Source organism: Homo sapiens, chromosome Y, assembly GCF_000001405.40.
Source record: "Homo sapiens chromosome Y, GRCh38.p14 Primary Assembly".
NCBI lineage: Eukaryota > Metazoa > Chordata > Mammalia > Primates > Hominidae > Homo > Homo sapiens.
Genome location: NC_000024.10, coordinates 14,804,042 through 14,822,427, shown reverse-complemented (window position 1 = coordinate 14,822,427; position 18,386 = coordinate 14,804,042). Strand labels below are relative to the sequence as shown.

Sequence of the window (18,386 nt, the reverse complement as noted above, 5' to 3'; positions counted from 1 at the left end):
TCTTCCACCACAATCCCTTCCTCCCTTACAAAACAAGGGTTTTTGTAACCTTTCCAATAGCAGGCTAATGAATGTCCCTTGTGTTCAAAAATCTTAGTTATTCAAACAGCATCCTACTGGATGGATTGATCTTTGAGGTTCAGAATTTCCTCCAAATATTCTGTAAGCTTGCCAAGGGAAATGGCAATGCTTGCATCTCTGAAGTTTAACAAAAGAATGTGGTGTTTTGAAGCATGTGTTTTCACAGTTTCTGCATTGGAATTTTCATTTACTGCAACATCCAGGGATTATTAATTTTCTTTTTAAATTTAAACTATCAAAAAGGGGGAGTGCCTGTTTCAGGTACAGAATGACTGAAATAATTTTACGCTCTTTACAAGAGTATACTCCTTTCATCTTGAAACCACCTTTGCAAAACTTGTAACTGTGAGAAAATTATGACAGTGAAAGAGATCTGACCTAACCAACACCATCTTGTCTTTCACCACCATACTACAATGATCATTGCTGAGCATAGGCCAAGCTAACTTTGGGAGAAATTGAACTTATAGTTTAAATGATAATAGCCCTTCTTAAAACTAAACAACCTTTGTAAAACTAATGAAAGACCAGCAGGTTAGAAAAATGACAGATGCCTGAATTCTGCTAAGATGTTGGCTTAGTTAAATAATTACCAAACATTATCTGAAAGGTGAACCTAGGTGGACATCCTGGGTCGAGTGGGGACTTGGAGAACTTTTCAGTCTTACAAGAGAATTGTAAAGCACACCAATAAGCACTCTTTAGCGAGGATTGTAAAATGCACCAATCAGCGCTCTGTAGTTAGTAAGGGGATTGTAAAATGCAACAATCAGTGCTCTGTAAAAACACCAATCAGCACTCTGTAGCTAGCAAGAGGATTGTAAAATGCACCAATCAGCACTCTGTAAAATGCACAAATCTGCACTCTATAATAACCTAAAAGTAGTTAATCACAAGGAGGATTGTAAAAAGGGCATTCTGATAGGACAGACAGACAACATGGGATGGGACAAATAAGAAAATAAAAGTTGGCCAACTCAGCCAGCAGTGGCAACCCACTAGGGTCCTCTTCCATTCTGTGGAAGCTTTGTTCTTTCACTCTTCACAGTAAATCTTGCTGCTGCTCACTCTTTGAGTCCATGCCACCTTTAAGATCTGTAACACTCACAGTGAAGGTCAGCAGCTTCATTCATGAAGTCAGCAAGACCACGAACCCACTGGCAGGAACCAACTCTGGACACATCTAGTGGCTCATCCAGGATATTGCCATGTGGTGAGTACCGCTGGACCCTTTTCACTTGCTATTCTGTCCTATTTTTCTTTAGAATTCGGGGACTAAATACCAGGCACCTGTTGACCAGTTAAAAGCAACTAGCGTGGCTGCTGGACTAAAGACTCAGGTGTCAGGCTTTCTGGGAAAGGGCTCTCTAACAACCACTGAATCTTTGGAGTTGGGAGCATTGATTTGCCTGGAACCAGCTTCCATTTTTCCTGCATTTCTTGGCTGAGCCAAGGGTTGACAGAGAGGAAAGTCATTCAGCTCCAGGGTCCCAACAAAAAGTTGGTTGACCCTGCAGCCATGAGCATAACTTTCAAAGTTATGTTGCACAAGCGAGACTCGCCCATCTATCCTATCTATCGTGACCCTTGCCTTCTGGGTCCTAACGCCTGTAAGACAACCTTTCCTACTGCCTCTCTTCTCTGAAGGTAGCCCTGTGTCTAAAAACAACTCCCTGTCCCTGGTGATCTTCTAGTTTCTCCTATAAATGATTTATGGTATAAACTGTGGGACTCTGTTCCTTCTTTAGGTACCCAGGCTCCCCTATCAGAAAAACATAGTTTTCACCTGAAGCTTTGTTGGGAGGGGGATGATCTGGAATTTATCAACCCTCCTCAGACTAGCAGGCCTAACAAAGGCTATTCCTGAAGCTAGGATAAGGGGAGCCTCAGAAATTATATCCTTCCTTTTCATTGATGAGAAGTGAGGACAAAAGGTGTCACTCTTCCAACCCTGGAGATCCCTTCCCTCCCTAAGGGTATGGCCCTCCACTCCATTTTGATGCATATCATCTTTATAGGACAAGGATAAGGTCCCAATACTAAGAGGAGAATGCTTAGGACTCTTACAGATTTTTAAGGATGCATCACTAAGGGCCACTAAATCTGATTTTTCTCAGTCCTCTTTGTGGTCTAAGAGGAAAGGCAAGGGTGTTGATTTTCAAGAATGTGTTGGTAAGGGCTACTAAATCCGACATTTATTGGTCCTCCTTATGATCTAGGAGGAAAACTAGTGTTTCTGCTGCTGCTTTGGCGAGCACAACTATTCGGAACATCAGGGTCCAGGGACTGTTGCAGGATCTTGGGCAAGGAAAAAAGGCAAACCAAAACCACATTTGTTTTTTTCTTTTAGATGGGAATCACTCAGGCATCAACAAGCTCACCCTTGAAATGCATCCTAAGCCATTGGGAACAATTTGATCTGCAAACACTGAAATAGAAGTGGCTTATTTTTTTTTCTGCACTATGGCCTGGCCTCAATATTCTCTCTCTGATGGGAAAAATGACCACCTGAGGGAAGTATAAATTAGAATGCCATACTGTCCTTTGACCTGTAAGAGAGAAGGCAAATTGAGTGAAATATCTTATGTCTAAGCTTTCTTTTCATTGAAGGATAATCCACAACAAGGCAAAGCTTGAAATTTACATTCCACAGGAGGACCTCTCAGTTTAGCTTCATATCCTACCATCTATACAGCTCCCTTTCCTATCAGTAATAAGCCTCCTCTAGTCTCCCCCACCCAGAAGGGGAACAAGCAAAGAAATATCCAAGGGACCACAAACACCCCCAGGCTATGGCTTATGTCCCCTTCAAGCTGTCAGGGGAGGGGAATTTGACTGAACCTAGGTACATGTCCCCTTCTCCCTCTCCAATTTAAAGCAGATAAGGTAGACCTGGGGATGTTTTCAGATAGTCCTGAATAGGTATATAGATGTCCTACAGGGTCCAGGGCAAATATTTGACTTCACTTGGAAAGATATCATGCTATTGTTAGATCAAACCCTGGCCTTTAGTGAAAATAAAGTGGCTTTAGCTACAGCCTGAGTGTTTGGAGATCTGGTATTTTAGTTAAGTAAATGATAGAATAACAGCCGAAGAAAGGGACAAATTCCCTACTGGTCAGCAAGCTGTAACCCATATGGATCCCCACTGGGATCTAGACTCAGATCGTGGGGACTGGAGTCACAAACATCTGTTGACCTGTGTTCTAGAAGGACTAAGGAGAATAGGAAAAAGCCCATGAATTAATCAATGATGTCCACCATAACTCAGGGAAAGGAAAATAATCCTACTGCCTTCCTTGAGCAGCTACAAGAGGCCTTAAGAAAATATATTCCCCTGTCAACCAACTCCCTCGAGGGTCAATTGATCCTAACACATATCCAATCAGCTGCAGATATCAGGATAAAGCTCCAAAAGTGAGCCCTGGCCCCGAACAAAATCTGGAGGCATTATTAAACCTGGCAAATTTGGTGTTCTATAATAGAGACCAAGAGGAACAGGCCCAAAAGGAAAAGGGAGATCAGTGAAAGGCCACAGTCATGGCCCTCAGTCAAACAAACCTTGGTGCTTCAGAGAGGACAGAAAATGGATCAGACCAATTACCTGGTAGGGGTTGTTATTAGTGTGGTTTTCAAGGACACCTTAGAAAAGATTGTCCAGTGAGAAACAAGTCACCCCCTTGGCCATGTCCACTATGCCAAGGTCATCACTGGAAAGCACACTGCCCCAGAGGACAAAGGTTCTCAGGACCAGCAGTCCCCAACCAGGTGATCCAACAGCAGGACTGAGGGTGCCTGTGGAAAGCACCAGCTCATTTTGTCCCCCTCACTGAGCCCCAGGTACATTTAACCATTGAGGACCAGGACATTGACTTCCTTCTGGACATGGATGTGGCCTTCTCAGTGTTAATATCCTGCCACAGATGGCTGCTCTGAAGGTCCATTACCATCTGAGGAATCCTGGGGCAGCCTGTAACCAGGCATTTCTCCCAGCTCCTCAGTTGTAATTGGGAGACTTTGCTCTTTTCACATGCCTTTCTTGTTATGCCTCAAAGTCCCACACCCTTATTAGGAAGGGACATATTAGCCAAAGCTGGAGCTATTATCCATATGAATATGGGGAACAAGTCACTTATCTGTTGTCCACTGCTTGAGGAGGGAATCAACCCTGGAGTCTGGGCATTGTAAGGACAGTTCGGAAGGGCAAAAAATGTTGGCCCTGTCCAAATCAGGCTGAAAGACCCCACCAATTTTCCTTATCAAAGGCAATATCCCTTAAGGTCTGAAGCTCATAAACAATTATAGGATATTGTTAGACATCTAAAATCTCAAGGCTTAGCAAGAAAATGCAGCAGTCTCTACAACACTCCAATTCTAGGAGTACAAAAACCGAATTGTTAGTGGAGACTAGTGCAAGATCTTAGATTCATCAATGAGGCAGAAATTCATCTATATCCAGGTGCACCCAAGACCTATACCTCTACACTCTCAACAGAGGAAAAAGAATTGTTCACTGTTCTGGACCTCAAGGATGCCTTCTTCTCCATTCCCCTGCACTCTAACTCCTAGTTTCTCTTTACCTTTGAGGATCCCACAGACCACACATCCCAACTTACATGGACGGTCTTACCTCAAGCATTTAGGGATAGCCCTCATCTGTTTGGTCAGGTGCTATCCCAGATCTAGGTCACTTCTCAAGTCCAGGTACACTGGTCCTTGAGAATGTGGATGATTTACTTTTCGCTACCAGTTTGGAAGCCACATGCCAGCAGTCTACTATAGATCTCTTGAAGTTTCTAGCTAATCAATGGTAAAAGGCATCTAATTGAAGGCCAGCTCTGCCTACAACAATTCAAATATCCAGGCCTAATTTTAACCAGAGGAACCCTCAGCAAAGAATAAATGCAGCCCATACTGGCTTATCCTTTGCCCTAAGAAATTTAAACAGTTGCAGACGTTCCTTGGGATCACCAGTTTTGCCAACTATGGATCCCTGGATACGGCGAGATGGCCAGGCCACTCTATACTTTAATCAAGGACACCCAGAGGGCAAATACTCATCTAGTGGAATGGAAACCAGAGGCAGAAACAGTTTTCAAAACCTTAAAGCAGGCCCTAGTACAAGCTGTAGCCTTAAGCCTTCGTACATGAAAAAAATTATTTTTATACATCACAGAAAGAGTGGAAATAGCTCTTGGAGTCCTTATTCAGACGCACTAAGTGTCCCCACAACCAGCAGCATACCTAAGTAAGGAAATTTATGTAGTAGCAAAAGGCTGGCCTCACTGTTAACGGGTAGTTGCAGTGGTGGCCATCTTAGTGTCAGAGGCTATCAAAATAATACAAGGAAAGGATCTCACTGTCTGGACTACTCATGATGTAAATGGCACACTAGGTGCCAAAGGAAGTTTATGGCTATCAGATAACCACCTGCTTAGATACCAGGTGCTACTCCTTGAGACTTTGCTTCAAGTATGCACATGTGCAGCCCTCAACCCTGCGACTTTTCTCCCATAGCATGGGACCGATCTAGCATGACTGCCAACAAATTGTAGCCCAGACTGTGTCACCCAAGAGGATCTCTAAGAAGTCCCCTTAGCTAATCCTGACCTTAACCTATAGAACGATGGAAGTTCGTTTGTGGAGAATGGGAGATGAAGGGGCAGGTTATGCCATAGTGATGTAACAGTATTTGAAAAGTAACCCTCTTCACCCAGGGATCAGCACCCAGTTAGCAGAACTACTGGTGCTTACCCGAGCCTTAGAAATGGGAAAAGCAAAAATAATAAATGTGTATATAGGTAGAAACTATGCTTATCTAACCCTACAAGCCAATGCTACAATATGAAGAAAAAGGGAGTTCCTAACTTCTGGGGGAACCCCCATTAAATGCCACAAGGAAATCATGGAGTTATTGCACACAGTGCAAAAACCAAGGGGGTGGCAGTCTTGTGCTGCCAAAGCCATTAAAAAGATGAAGGAGAAAAGGTAGAAACTGTCAGGCAGACTCTGAGGCCAAAATTGCTACCAGGCGGAACCTCCCATTAGAAGTACCTGTGGAAGGACCCTTGGTATGGAACAACCCTCTCCAAGAGATTAAGCCCCAGTATTCCCCAAATGAAACAGAATGGAAAATTTCACGGGGGTATAGTTTTCTATGCTAGGGGTGGTTAATGACAGAAAAGGGAAAGGTACTCATACCTGAAGCCAGCCAGTGGAAAATACTTAAAAGCCTCCACCAAACTCTCCATATGTGTATTGAGAACACTCATCAAATAGCCAAATCCCTATTTACAAGGACATGTCTCCTCTAGATCATCTGACAAGTAGTCAAAGCCTGTGATGTGTGCCAAAGAAAAAACCCCATGGTCTATCATAAGGCCCCTCTGGGAGAAGAAAGAATAGGGCACTATCCTGGGCAGGACTGGTATTTAGAGTTCATGCCTATGCCTAAGTTAAAGGGATTTCAATACTTGTTGGTCTGTGCTGATATCTTTAGAAATTTGATAGAAGCCTTCCCCTGCAAGACAGAGAATGCTCAGGAAGTGGTTAAAGTCCTAATTCATGAAATAATTCCTAGATTTGGGTTATCACAAAGCTTACCAAGAATACCCTAACAGGACATGGAATCCAGCTTTTACACTCTTACATTTCCACTTTCACCTATTACACTAGCAATGAAAAGCCCATATATGGCCCTGTAACCACGAATACCATCTTAACTTTTCAAGCCTCTTTATGCATCCAGTGCAATCTGTTATCAGGCCTGCCCCTGGAAACCTACAATGCCATCAGTGTAATAATACTCTACAACTTCAACCACCAACAGATCATAGCAACTTGTGAGTCACCCATACAGCTCCATTCAGATGGCTTGTCTGCTTCTCAGGGCCTCCAAAAATTATCACCTCCTACCTGCTTAACAGTCTGGGTGTTGTAATGGCAAACATTCTCCCTGCATGACCATTCATCCCTGGACCCCTTGCAGCAGCATCCCCACCACTAATGAAAGCCTTCTCATTCCCTCTTTCTATCACTGTCTTGAATGGTTCCTAGTAGATACAAAACGGTTTTTTCTCCAATGGGAAAATAGAACACAGGGAGCCACTCAGTTTTCTCCCAACACTCCTTTTCAGCTATTCTCTGGAGGTACCTTGGCAAGTACTCTAGGAGTATGGGAAAATGAAAATAATATGAGTTATTATTATTATCACAAGCCTTTTTAACATATACAACCAGTTCTGTCTACTCAGCCAAGGCATGTTCTTCTTATGTGGAACTTGAACCTACGTCTGCCTCCCCACCTGGACAGGCACCTGGAACTTAGTCTTCCTAAGTCCCAACACTGACATTTCCCCAGGAAATCAGACCCTATCAGTGCCCCTTAAAGTTCAAGTTCGTCAGTGCAGGGCCATGCAACTAATAACCCTACTTATAGTTTTAGGAATGGCCACTGATACAGGAAACAGAATAGCCAGTTTATCTACTCCATTATCCTACTACCTATCACACACTCTAAAAGTATTTCTCAGACAGTTTTCAAGAAATAACAAAATCTTTCCTTACACTGCAATCCCAAGTAGACTCTTTGGCAGCAGTGACTCTCCAAAACTACTGAGGCCTAGACCTCCTCACTGCTGAGAAAGGAGGACTCTGCACCTTCTTAGGGGAAGAGTGTTGTTTTTATATTAACCAGTCAGGGATAATATGAGATGCCATCCAGTGTTTACAGGAAAAGACTTGTGAAATCAGACAATGCCTCTCAAACTCTTATACCAACATCTGAAGTTGAGTGACATGGCTTCTCCCCTTTCTAGGTCCTGTGACAGCCATCTTGCTATTACTTGCATTTGGGCCCTGTATTTTTAATCTCCTTGTCAAATTTGTTTCCTCCAGGATCGAGGCCATCAAGCTACAGATGGTCTTACAAATGGAACCCCAAATGAGCTCAACTCACAACTTCTACTGAGGACCCCTGAATCGACCTTGTGGCTCCAAGACTGGGCTAGAGAGTTCCCCTCTGAAGGACATTACAACTGCAGGGCCACTTCTTTGCCCCTATCCATCAGGAAGTAGGTAGAGCGGTCATCACCCAATTCCCAATAGCATTTGGGGTGTCCAGTTTAGAGGAGACACCTTCTATTGGTATGTGAAGCCAGGTGGACTTCCTGGGTCGAGTGGAAACTTGGTTCCTGAAGTCAGTGAGACCATGAACCCACCAGAAGGAACAAACTCCAGACACAATTCCATAGGTGACAAGATCTGCAACTTCCCCAATCACTAGAAACTAAAATTGGCCTTTAAAAACCTTTTATTTTAGGTTTGGGGGTACAACTATAGGTTTATTATGTAGGTAAATTTCATGTGACAGGACCTTTCACTGACAGGTCCTTTAGGCTCCATACTCTAAGCATGTTAGCTGATGAAATTTTGGCTTTTAAGTTTTACTCTCCCTGAAATGAAGCTTGTAAATCAGCAACCTCTCCTCTTTCAATTGAATAACAAAAGAAAGATGCAAAAGAGATCATGTAGAATTAATGCATGTTAATGGATACATTGTTGCCAAATTTCATCCAGGGCTCTGGAAGGAACAACAACCACAAAAATATACACACAAGAAATATCAATAGATATTTTCGGTGATATGATTTGGCTGTGTCCCCACCCAAATCTCATCTTGAATTGTTGTTACTCAGGTGATAAGAATAGTACAGATTGGCCTTTTGAGATGCCTTTTCAGGCTTTTATTTGCGACAATTGATTGGTCCCACTGGGACCATTAACATCTCTGTATCCCCATGTAGAGGGTGACTTAGTGCACCAGGGTTGTTTTCCAAAACACTATAATTGCATCCCAACCAATCCAGCAGCACTCATTCCCTAGCCCCTAAATGCCAAACTATCCTTGAAAAACTCAAGCCTTCGAATTTTGGGGAAGGCTGATTTAGGTAATAATAAAACTCCAATCACTTATTTAGCCAGCTCTGTAGGAATTAAACTGTTTATTGCAATTCTTCTATCTTGACTAATCAGCTCTATCTGTGTAGTAAAGATGAGTCTGTTGGGCAGTTACAGTGTTCTGAGGTCTAAATCACATTTTATATAAATGAGACTTAAGAAGCATGTGGGCTTATTGTCATGAAATTCTGAGCTCAGAAAGTTATTGTTTGAAGAAGAAAATGACCTGTTTTCATAAGGCACCTGATCTGTGACAATCAGATCTCACTATAAATTTGTCTTTTTCTTTATTCATCAGTACCTGGCCAGTTTTTCCTATCAATAACACTGGAGGAGAGGAAAAGGCAGCACATTATAGCTATATTATGTGATGGAGCAGGGAGAGGGAAGGTGGGAGGGAAGGGAAGGAGGGAAGGAGGGAGGAAGGAAGGAAGGAAGGAAGGAGGGAAGGAAGGAAGGAAGATAGGAAGAAAGAAAATTTTCCTGACAAAGTTATCTTCTTAAGTGCAAATAAAGAGTGATCTTAACAATATTCTAATGGTGTGATTTCTCAAAAGTTTTCAGACACCAGAAACCCTGCTATTTTTTGTAGCAAGTTAAAATTAATATTTTAGGAATCCTGCACACCTAAATCACTGGGTTTTGCCTCCTGATTGTAGAGAGCAAAATGATGGTACCTCATCAACTTGGAGAGAGCCATGCATAATATCAAAGATGAGTGCTCTTCTTGAGAACTCAGCTCTCAGGTAGATCACTTAACTTTAAATACACATTCCAGGTGAATGAAAAAAACAACCCCCTTGATTGTCTAAAACCACAGATATGCAACGAATAACCTCCTTCATCGACAGGTCCTTTAGGCTCCATACTCTAAGCCTGTTAGCTGATGAAATTTTGGCTTTTAAGTTTTACTCTCCCTAAAATGAAGCTTGTAAATCAGCAACCTCTCCTCTACCAACTGAACAACAAAAGAAAGATGCAAAAGAGATCATGTAGAATTAATGCATGTTAATGGCTACATTGATGCCAAGTTTCATCCAGGGCTCTGGAAGGAACATCGACAACAAAAATATACACACAAGAAATATCAATCAATATTTTCAGTGATATGATTTTGCTGTGTCCCCAGGCAAATCTCATCTTGAATTGTAGATCCCATAGTGGTAGGGACCCACCAGGAGGTAACTTAATCTTGGGCGTGAATTTTTCCCATGCTATTTTCATAGTCAAGATTTGATGATTTTATGAAGGACAGTTCCCCTGCACATGCTCTCTTGCCTGCCACCACGTAAGACATGACTTTGCTCCTCTTTTACTTTCTGCCATGATTGTTAGGCCTCCCCATCGATGTGAAACTGTGAATCCATTAAATCTGTTTTCTTTATAAATTACCCAGTCTCAGGAATATCTTTATTAACATCATGAGAACAGACTAATACATTCAGTTAGTGTGGTTATTTAAAAACATGTTTCATGGTAAAGGTGCCGTAAAACAGGAATCAGTTTTTCCTTCTGCATGTTGACTAAAATGAGTATCATATAAACATGAGGATTTCTAGTTGGGCTTAATATTGTTGGTAGAATAGAAAAGTTTCCACTTTTTATTATAAATAATAATGTAGATGTTTCCTCTCCTTTTGAATTATATCACAAGGCTTAGGAGAATAATTGCAGGTCTTTTGTTTCTGCATGCCCTCCAAGTCAATGGTAAGGAACCAAATGGGGTCAGATATTGTTGGCCTTTTAATTAACAAAAGACATTGTTATATGACATTAAAGCCATAATCCACTTTCTTTTATGAGATCATTCCTCGTATAAACACACTAGGCATTTTTTGGAGACAAGTAACCAGAAGATAATTATGTGAATAGAGAAGTTAAATATCTTTGACCATTTCCGTGTGTGTCATTTACCTGTAGCTGGCGCATACATACAATATGCATATATAACCATATATATGAATGTATGGGTATGAATGTATATGTACACAGACACACATATGTGCACCTTTAAACTAAAGAAGTGACACCAAACAGGAAAAGTTTAAATAAAAATTATTCAGTGAGAACAAACAGAATTTGTTTTAGGTCACACAACTGTGGTCAAAGAGAAATCTGGTGAGAATGAAGGCAGAGGTATAAAAAATAAAAATCAGTCAAATAGATTAAAAACTAATCTTTGATGGTTATAGGAAATCATTCATAGTCAATTTATTAAAAGGTGAGGCTTCAGTTTTCTGTTTTAAATTGTGTAGGATTCAACACAGGAGCACATACATATACAGAGTGTGCTGGATGGGAGGGAACGTGACGTCCTGCACTCAAATTCTGTAGCTTGATAGGTAAGGCTGGTTGAAATTCAGTGCCTTTGATTTTTAGTTTTTACTTTACTTAAAAATGGAATGAGTACTAGCAGACTATTTTCCTATTGTATCATGTTATCATATCATTATTTCACAGAGCCAAAATTTAGTTTCCAAAGTCCATAGAGAAAATCTAAGACAATTATAACAGACACATGGTATTTATACCACAGATTTCCAAACTCTGGGGCCCACAAACTCTTATTCAGATTCCTTGCATCATTTTCATAAAGTAGGTAATGTCCACCTACATGTATCTATAATGAAGCTGCATAAGCTTTTTTAAGTGCTTTAGTTTCAATTACATAAAATAAAAAAAACCAAGATGGATATTTTCTGAGCAAAATATAAAATAATAAATACAGTTTGCTTAATAAACAATAATATATCAAAACTTGAAGATAATTGATATATGAGTTTCATGGAAATGAAAATTTGAGAATGGCCTGCCTGGAAACAATTCTCTTTGAGTCAACTTTGAGTCTTTTTTTTTTTTAGATAGACTCTCTCACTCTGTTGCCCAGGATGGAGTGCAGTGCCATGATTTCGGCCCACTGTAACCTCTATGTCCCAAATTCAAGTGATTATCTTGCCTCAGCCTCCCGAGCAGCTGGGATTATAGGCGCACACCACCATGCCTGACTAATTTTTATATTTTCAGTAGAGATCTGGTTTTGCCATGTTGGCCAGGTTGGTCTCAAACTCCTGAGCTCAAGTGATCTGCTGGGATTACAGGCATGAGCCATCACACCCAGACAACTTTGAATCTTTTTAACTGAGCAGTTTCTCCTTAAATATATCTCCAGATTTGCTATGACTCTCATTCAATTGGCTGTCACATCCTTTTGGTTTTATTTTTCAAAAAGCTTGTACATCTTGTTCCTCCCTGGGTCTGCATCCTAGTGCCTGAGATGAGAACCACAGTCCTCCAGGACCTACCCACTTGGGTTTTATGTCCTTTCAGCTTTCTCTGAATTTCTGCACTATCAAAATAATCATGATGCTGTCCAATGTAAGAGGATGAGTAAAACCCAGGAAAATTAAAATTGGAGACTTCTGACCTAGGAGTCCTAATGCTTTGAATGGTTTTTCTATGAAAATCTTTATTCTGATGCATAAAAATAACCACCCAAGGCTCTGCAATTCACATGGATTGTAATTTTAAAAACAAACAATAGCAGCAAGCTCAGTGTTCACAAATCAGTGACTTGAGTGGATTCTCTTGCCTGCATCCATATTATGGGATGCTGTTTGTTTGCATGAAGTGTTAAGGAGTATTTACATGCATGGAGACAGGAACACATCTATGGTGTCTCAATAAAAATAGTGGGCTGCCTGTAATCCCAGCTACTTGGGAGGCTGAGGCAGGATAATTGCTTGAACCTGGGTGGCAGAGGTTGCCGTGAGAAAAGATCATGTGACTGCACTCCAGCCTCGGTGACGGAGTGAGACTCCATCTGAAAAAAAAAAAAAATAGTGGGCTGCTAAATACTTTTTATTGTATTTTATTATATTTTTTAGGGTTTTGTTTTGTTTTGTTTTTTGTTTTTTGTTTTTTTGCCACAGAGCCTCGACCAGGCTGAAGTGCAGTGGCACAATCTTGGGTCACTACAACCACCACCTCCTGGATTCAAGCAATTCTCCTGCCTCAGTCCCCCAAATAGGTGGGATTACAGGCATGTGCCACCACGTGTGGGCTAATTTTTGTATTTTTTGCAGAGACGTTGCCATGTTGTCCAGGCTGGTCTCAAACTTCCGACCTCAAGTGATCCACCTGCCTCTGTCTCCTGAAGTGCTGGGATTACCAGCATGAGCCACTTTGCGTGGCCCATTTATTTTATTAAAAAATAAAATGTGGAAGGAATTCAAACAGTGGAGAGTGATTATCTCAAAGGAGGTGGTTATAGGAAATGTTCATGTTTTATTGCTAATAACTGTTTATATTTTGTTCACAATTTATATCTTCTTTTTTAGCAATCACATTCACACACAATATAATGAGTGTACTGGACACACAAATTCATTACTGGGAATCCAAGGGTCATCCTGTGTGGGCCCATGTGACCTTCTCAAGGGATGCCCTACTTATGTTCTTGAGCTTGCAAATCCACCACTATACTTGCTAACTACTTCCAGAATATGCCTTGGATTTTGAAATGCTTGCTTTTTTATATGAAGTCCTCAAGATCTAAGGTGGCCTCTGCAGCCTTTAATTGCCTTGAACACCTTGCCTGAGCATCCCTTCCTGTGGCTATGGCCATATAAAAAAGCTGCATGGCTAGCTCATGGACACAGCACCACTTGAAAGGTCAGTGTGACCTGAAGGGCAGGCTCTGCATCTTCTGCAGGAGTCACCTACATAATCAGGTAGGACCTGGCCAAGTCTTTCTACCAATGTAGACCTCTTTCCAGAAGTGTCCTGTGTGATTATCTGTATTGTCTCAGCACACTAAATGGCATTCAATGAATTTCTGTTATAGAATATACCATGTTACACAAAGGTCATTTGCTTTGTAATTGCTGTCAGAGTTATTGATTCAATGGATTCAGTCTGACACCTTTGGGGTGTAATCTATTGTAAGGCCTCAAACATGTTATTTAAGATTTCAAAGCCCAGCTTTCTTTACATGTGAAAAAGGGAGGAGAATAGTAGTCCTCACATAGAAAGCTGAGGAACTCAACTGGACAATGTACAAGAAACAGCATGGTGCCTCATGTGGAATATGTTCAAAAATGGTTGCCAAGGCAGGCAGTTCACCTGAGGTCAGGAGGTCAAGGTCTGCCTGGCCAACATGGTGAAACCCAATCTCTACTAAAAAGGCAAAAATTAGCTGGGTGTGGTGGTGCATGCCTGTAACCCCAGCTACTCGGGGATCTGATGCATGAGAATCACTTGGACCTGGGAGGAGAAATTGTAGTGTGCGGAGATCATGCCATTGCATTCCAGCCTGAGTGACAAGAAAAAAAAACTCCATCTCAAAAAGCAAACAAAAAATAGCTGCCTACTAGCCTGCTTCCATGAAGATCAGAAGCCATGCTCTTTAGTTTTGCTTCACCTGCACACATGAGGAACAAATAAATGTTCTTCAAATAAATTAAACGAGTCCAAAGGGTAAAATCGACTGCTGGTCAAATTAGACTCTGACTTCAAAATTTTGCAAATGGTAAAGAGATATTATGTGTTCTCTTATGGTATTTTAAAGAATGAACTAGATACCATTTATTAGTGAATAATTTTGCATAAAGGGGGGATGTATTTATTCAGCCTGCTCTGTGTTTAGCCACTATGTGTTTAAAGCCAAAAGAGAAAGACAAGACAAAAAACATACCATAGCTTTTACATACACTATAAAATTTATGAAAAATTCTCATTCAACAAACATGTATGAAGTAGCCATAATCATCCAAGCAATATGCTAAACCTGGGGGAAAATGTTGCCACAGTTGAGTGCATTTCCATATATACTTTGAAAAGTTACAGAAATGTTTTTTTTTCATTTATATTTCCATTTGTTTTTAATGAGAGTATTTTAAAACACTTGAATTGAAAGTAAGTTTTCACCATCAAAGTATGGAGATAAAACACATATAAAAGGCACTATAAAATACATATAAGAAAAAGACTTTTACAATATTATATTAGATTAATTAAAATTCATATTAAATGAATGAAATACTAGATAAAATATCACATATATTAGACAAATTAGAAGTTAGTTGTAATCACATACAGTAGCAAAGTAAATATGACAGCATAAAAAAGAGCTAAAATCCCAGTGGAATGTTTAGTTTCATTAATAGAAAGGTTATTGAAGAAGACAGACAATATTTTCTAGAATTAAGGAAGGGCAAATTATGCATATATTGTACCTTAAGCTATACACTAAAATTGTCCTACTGGCTTGCTGCTTTAACCGCACTCTCTGTCTCTTTAAGTTCTTACTTATTTATACTATTTTTATACATTGTAACATTAAGGTTTTGTAAAGTCTTTGCCATTTTTCTTTTTGAAGATGGCTACCTCATAACGCTCATCTTCCTTTTAATGGTCAGCCACTACCTGGGATGCCTTTTCTAAGCCAGAAGACAGCAACTTTTCTTACAAGACCTGAAATGTTGGCTTAATTTTCAGGCTGTATCAGAGAAATTGGTGCAATTCTATTTGCACTAAGTGCAATTTTTTTTTTTCTCTAAGCAGGAGGGATGTTTGATCTGAGAGCAGTTACAGTGTCCTATTATATCTCTTACTGTACTAAAGTTTGTTACTATAATTGTCAAGGATTTGTCATTTTTGATAACTCTGTCTCGGTGTTGCATGGAAGTCTTTATTCACTAACAGATTTAAATATCTCAGGCTAAGATATCTCTCTGATAATTAATGTACAAAAGCAAAAACATTAAATGGATCACATACCAGAGCAGCTATGGTCAAACTTAGTGTTGTTCTAAAAACTAGATTTTAAGCAACTATCACAGTAACAATTCTCCACTTTATCTCAATTTTCCAACTTTTATCACACTCAATTTTATAAGCTCCACACACAAACTTTTATAGGCTTCAACAAAGCAGTTCTCCAGGGTAATATATATATTGTTTGCTTGTTGAATGTATATATGTATGTATACATATATACTATATATATGTTTTATATTTGAAACACTGCATCATGAGTAGACAGCACATGGAGGCTATGTATGGTCCATTAGATTTTGTTCATGACTCTTGTGTTTTACAAAATATAATTAACCTTATATTATCCCCCAAGGCAAAAGAATGATGATTAAGAGTTGAAGTTAATTGTTGGGAAAAAAGCACAGGTTTTTATTTGTTGTTGTTTGTTTTTGTTAATATTTCTGTTTGTTTTTTGTTTTTGTTTTTGTTTTTGAGGCAGAGTCTCGCATGGTTGCCCAGGCTGCAGTGCAGTGGCATGAGCTCAGCTCACTGCACCTCTACCTCCCGGGTTCATGTCATTCTCCGGCCTCAGTCTCCTGAGTAGCTGGCACTACAGGCGCCTGCCACCATGCCCAGCTAAATTTTTTTGTGTGTGTATTTTTAGTAAAGACGGGGTTTCACCGTGTTAGTCAGGATAGTCTCAATCTCCTAACCTCTTGATCCTCTCGCCTTGGCCTCCCAGATAGCTGGGATTACAGGCGTGAGCCACCACAGCTGACCACAGGTTTTAATATAACAAGATGAAATTGAGATAAAATACTTAGCAGGCATTTGAGATTATTCCATGTGTTCATTTAACAGGTCTACATGAATGCTCAAAATATGCTAGTCATGTTTTGTCCTTAGTGTTGAAGACACAGACAATGAACAATACAAACAGGATCTTTGATATCAGGAGATTCACCCTCCAGCATGGAGAGACAAATTGTTTACAAGCAAAGGTTAAATAATGTGATGTATGTGTTTCTTAGTTGTTGCCATAACATACACAAACTTGGTGGCTTAACCCAACACATACTTAGTATCTGATAGTTTTGGAAATCAGAGGTCTAAAATGCTTCTTCAGTGCTGGTACCTTCTGCAGCGTACAATTGTGGAACTATTTCCTTGTTTCTCCCACCTTTTAGAGGCTTCCAACACATGGACCCCTCTTCCACGTTAATAGCCAGTAGCACAGCACCTTAATCTCTATTTGACCTCTGTTTCACCTTCAGATTTTCTATTGTTTCAAAGTTTCAGTTTCTGTTTTATAAGGATATTTCTATTACATTGAGCTCACCTAGATACTTGAGGATGCTGTCCCCATCTTAAAGTCTTTTATCACATCACTTAAGACCTTCTTGCCACAAAACGTAGGATGTGAACATACATAGGGGTTTGTTATTCTGTCCTCTACAGCAGGGATCCCCAATCCCCAGGCTATGGTCCAGTACTGGACCAGATACAACCAACACACGTTGGATATTGCACTCTTCACAAACATGTATCCAAGTCTAACATGAACACACGTCAGAACAACCATTGAATCCCCACTCCTACCACACATTCACATCTTGTATTACCACCAAAGCCTGGTCCATGGCCTTTTAGGAACTGGGTCAGCAGGAGGGGAGTTGCAGGCAACCTAGCAAAGCTTCCTCTGTATTTACAGCCAATCCTCATCACCCAAATGACTGCCTGAGCTCCATCTCCTGTTAGTTAAGTGGTGACATTATATTCTCATAGGAGCGGAAATCCTATTGAGACGGCACATGCGAGGGATGTAGGTTGTGTGCTTATTGATGAGAATGTAATTCCTAGTGATTTGAGGTGGAACATTTTCACCCAGAAACCATCCACCGACATGGGAAAATTGACTTATGTGAAACCAGTCCCTGATGTCAAAAATGTTCAGGAGTGCTGCTCTATAGGGCGCTTGCCTAACAATTGAGTTGGGAGATATTTATATATATTCAAGATGCAAGTCAATTCTCTGCTCTATTAGTTACAAATGTTTTGTCTGAATCTGAAGCTTTTTGTCTGAGTTCTTCGTGGTGCCTTGAAGTCCTCATAATCAATACATTCTCTTACAGTTCTTGTATTTTGTGTTCTATGTAAGAAAACTTTTCATAAGCCTAGCTGGCAAAGATTTGCTCCTATATTTTCTTCTAAACAAAGCCTCTCTGAAAAGGTAGAAATGGAAGGAAATGATGACAGGGAAGCAGCCACAAGATGTTAAGAGGGAAACATTCCTGAAAAGAATTATAAGTTTCAAAGTTCCAAAAGGAACTTTAAAGGGTGAGGAGAACAGAAGGATTCCCAGTGTAACTGACTCATCATGACTAAGGAAATGTGAAAGAATGGTATTACAGTGGTAGGCATAAATGACTTCACACTTGGAAAAGTGACTAAAATGTTGGAATTTATTATAAAACAATGACAAGACATAAGAATGGGAAGATAGCAGTATGTGATAGAATTTATGGTTTTGTGAAGTCCATAAGAGGCACTGATGGATGTGACTGCAGGAGGCTGCCTTTGGAAGAAGTCCA

The 18,386-nt window shown here is 40.3% G+C and overlaps 1 protein-coding gene across 22 annotated transcripts in view; it reads right to left on the bottom strand.

Moving 5' to 3' along the window:
- NLGN4Y (neuroligin 4 Y-linked) overlaps positions 1 to 18,386 on the bottom strand; it is a 323,039-nt gene that overhangs the window by 23,227 nt on the left and 281,426 nt on the right. The window lies entirely within an intron of this gene.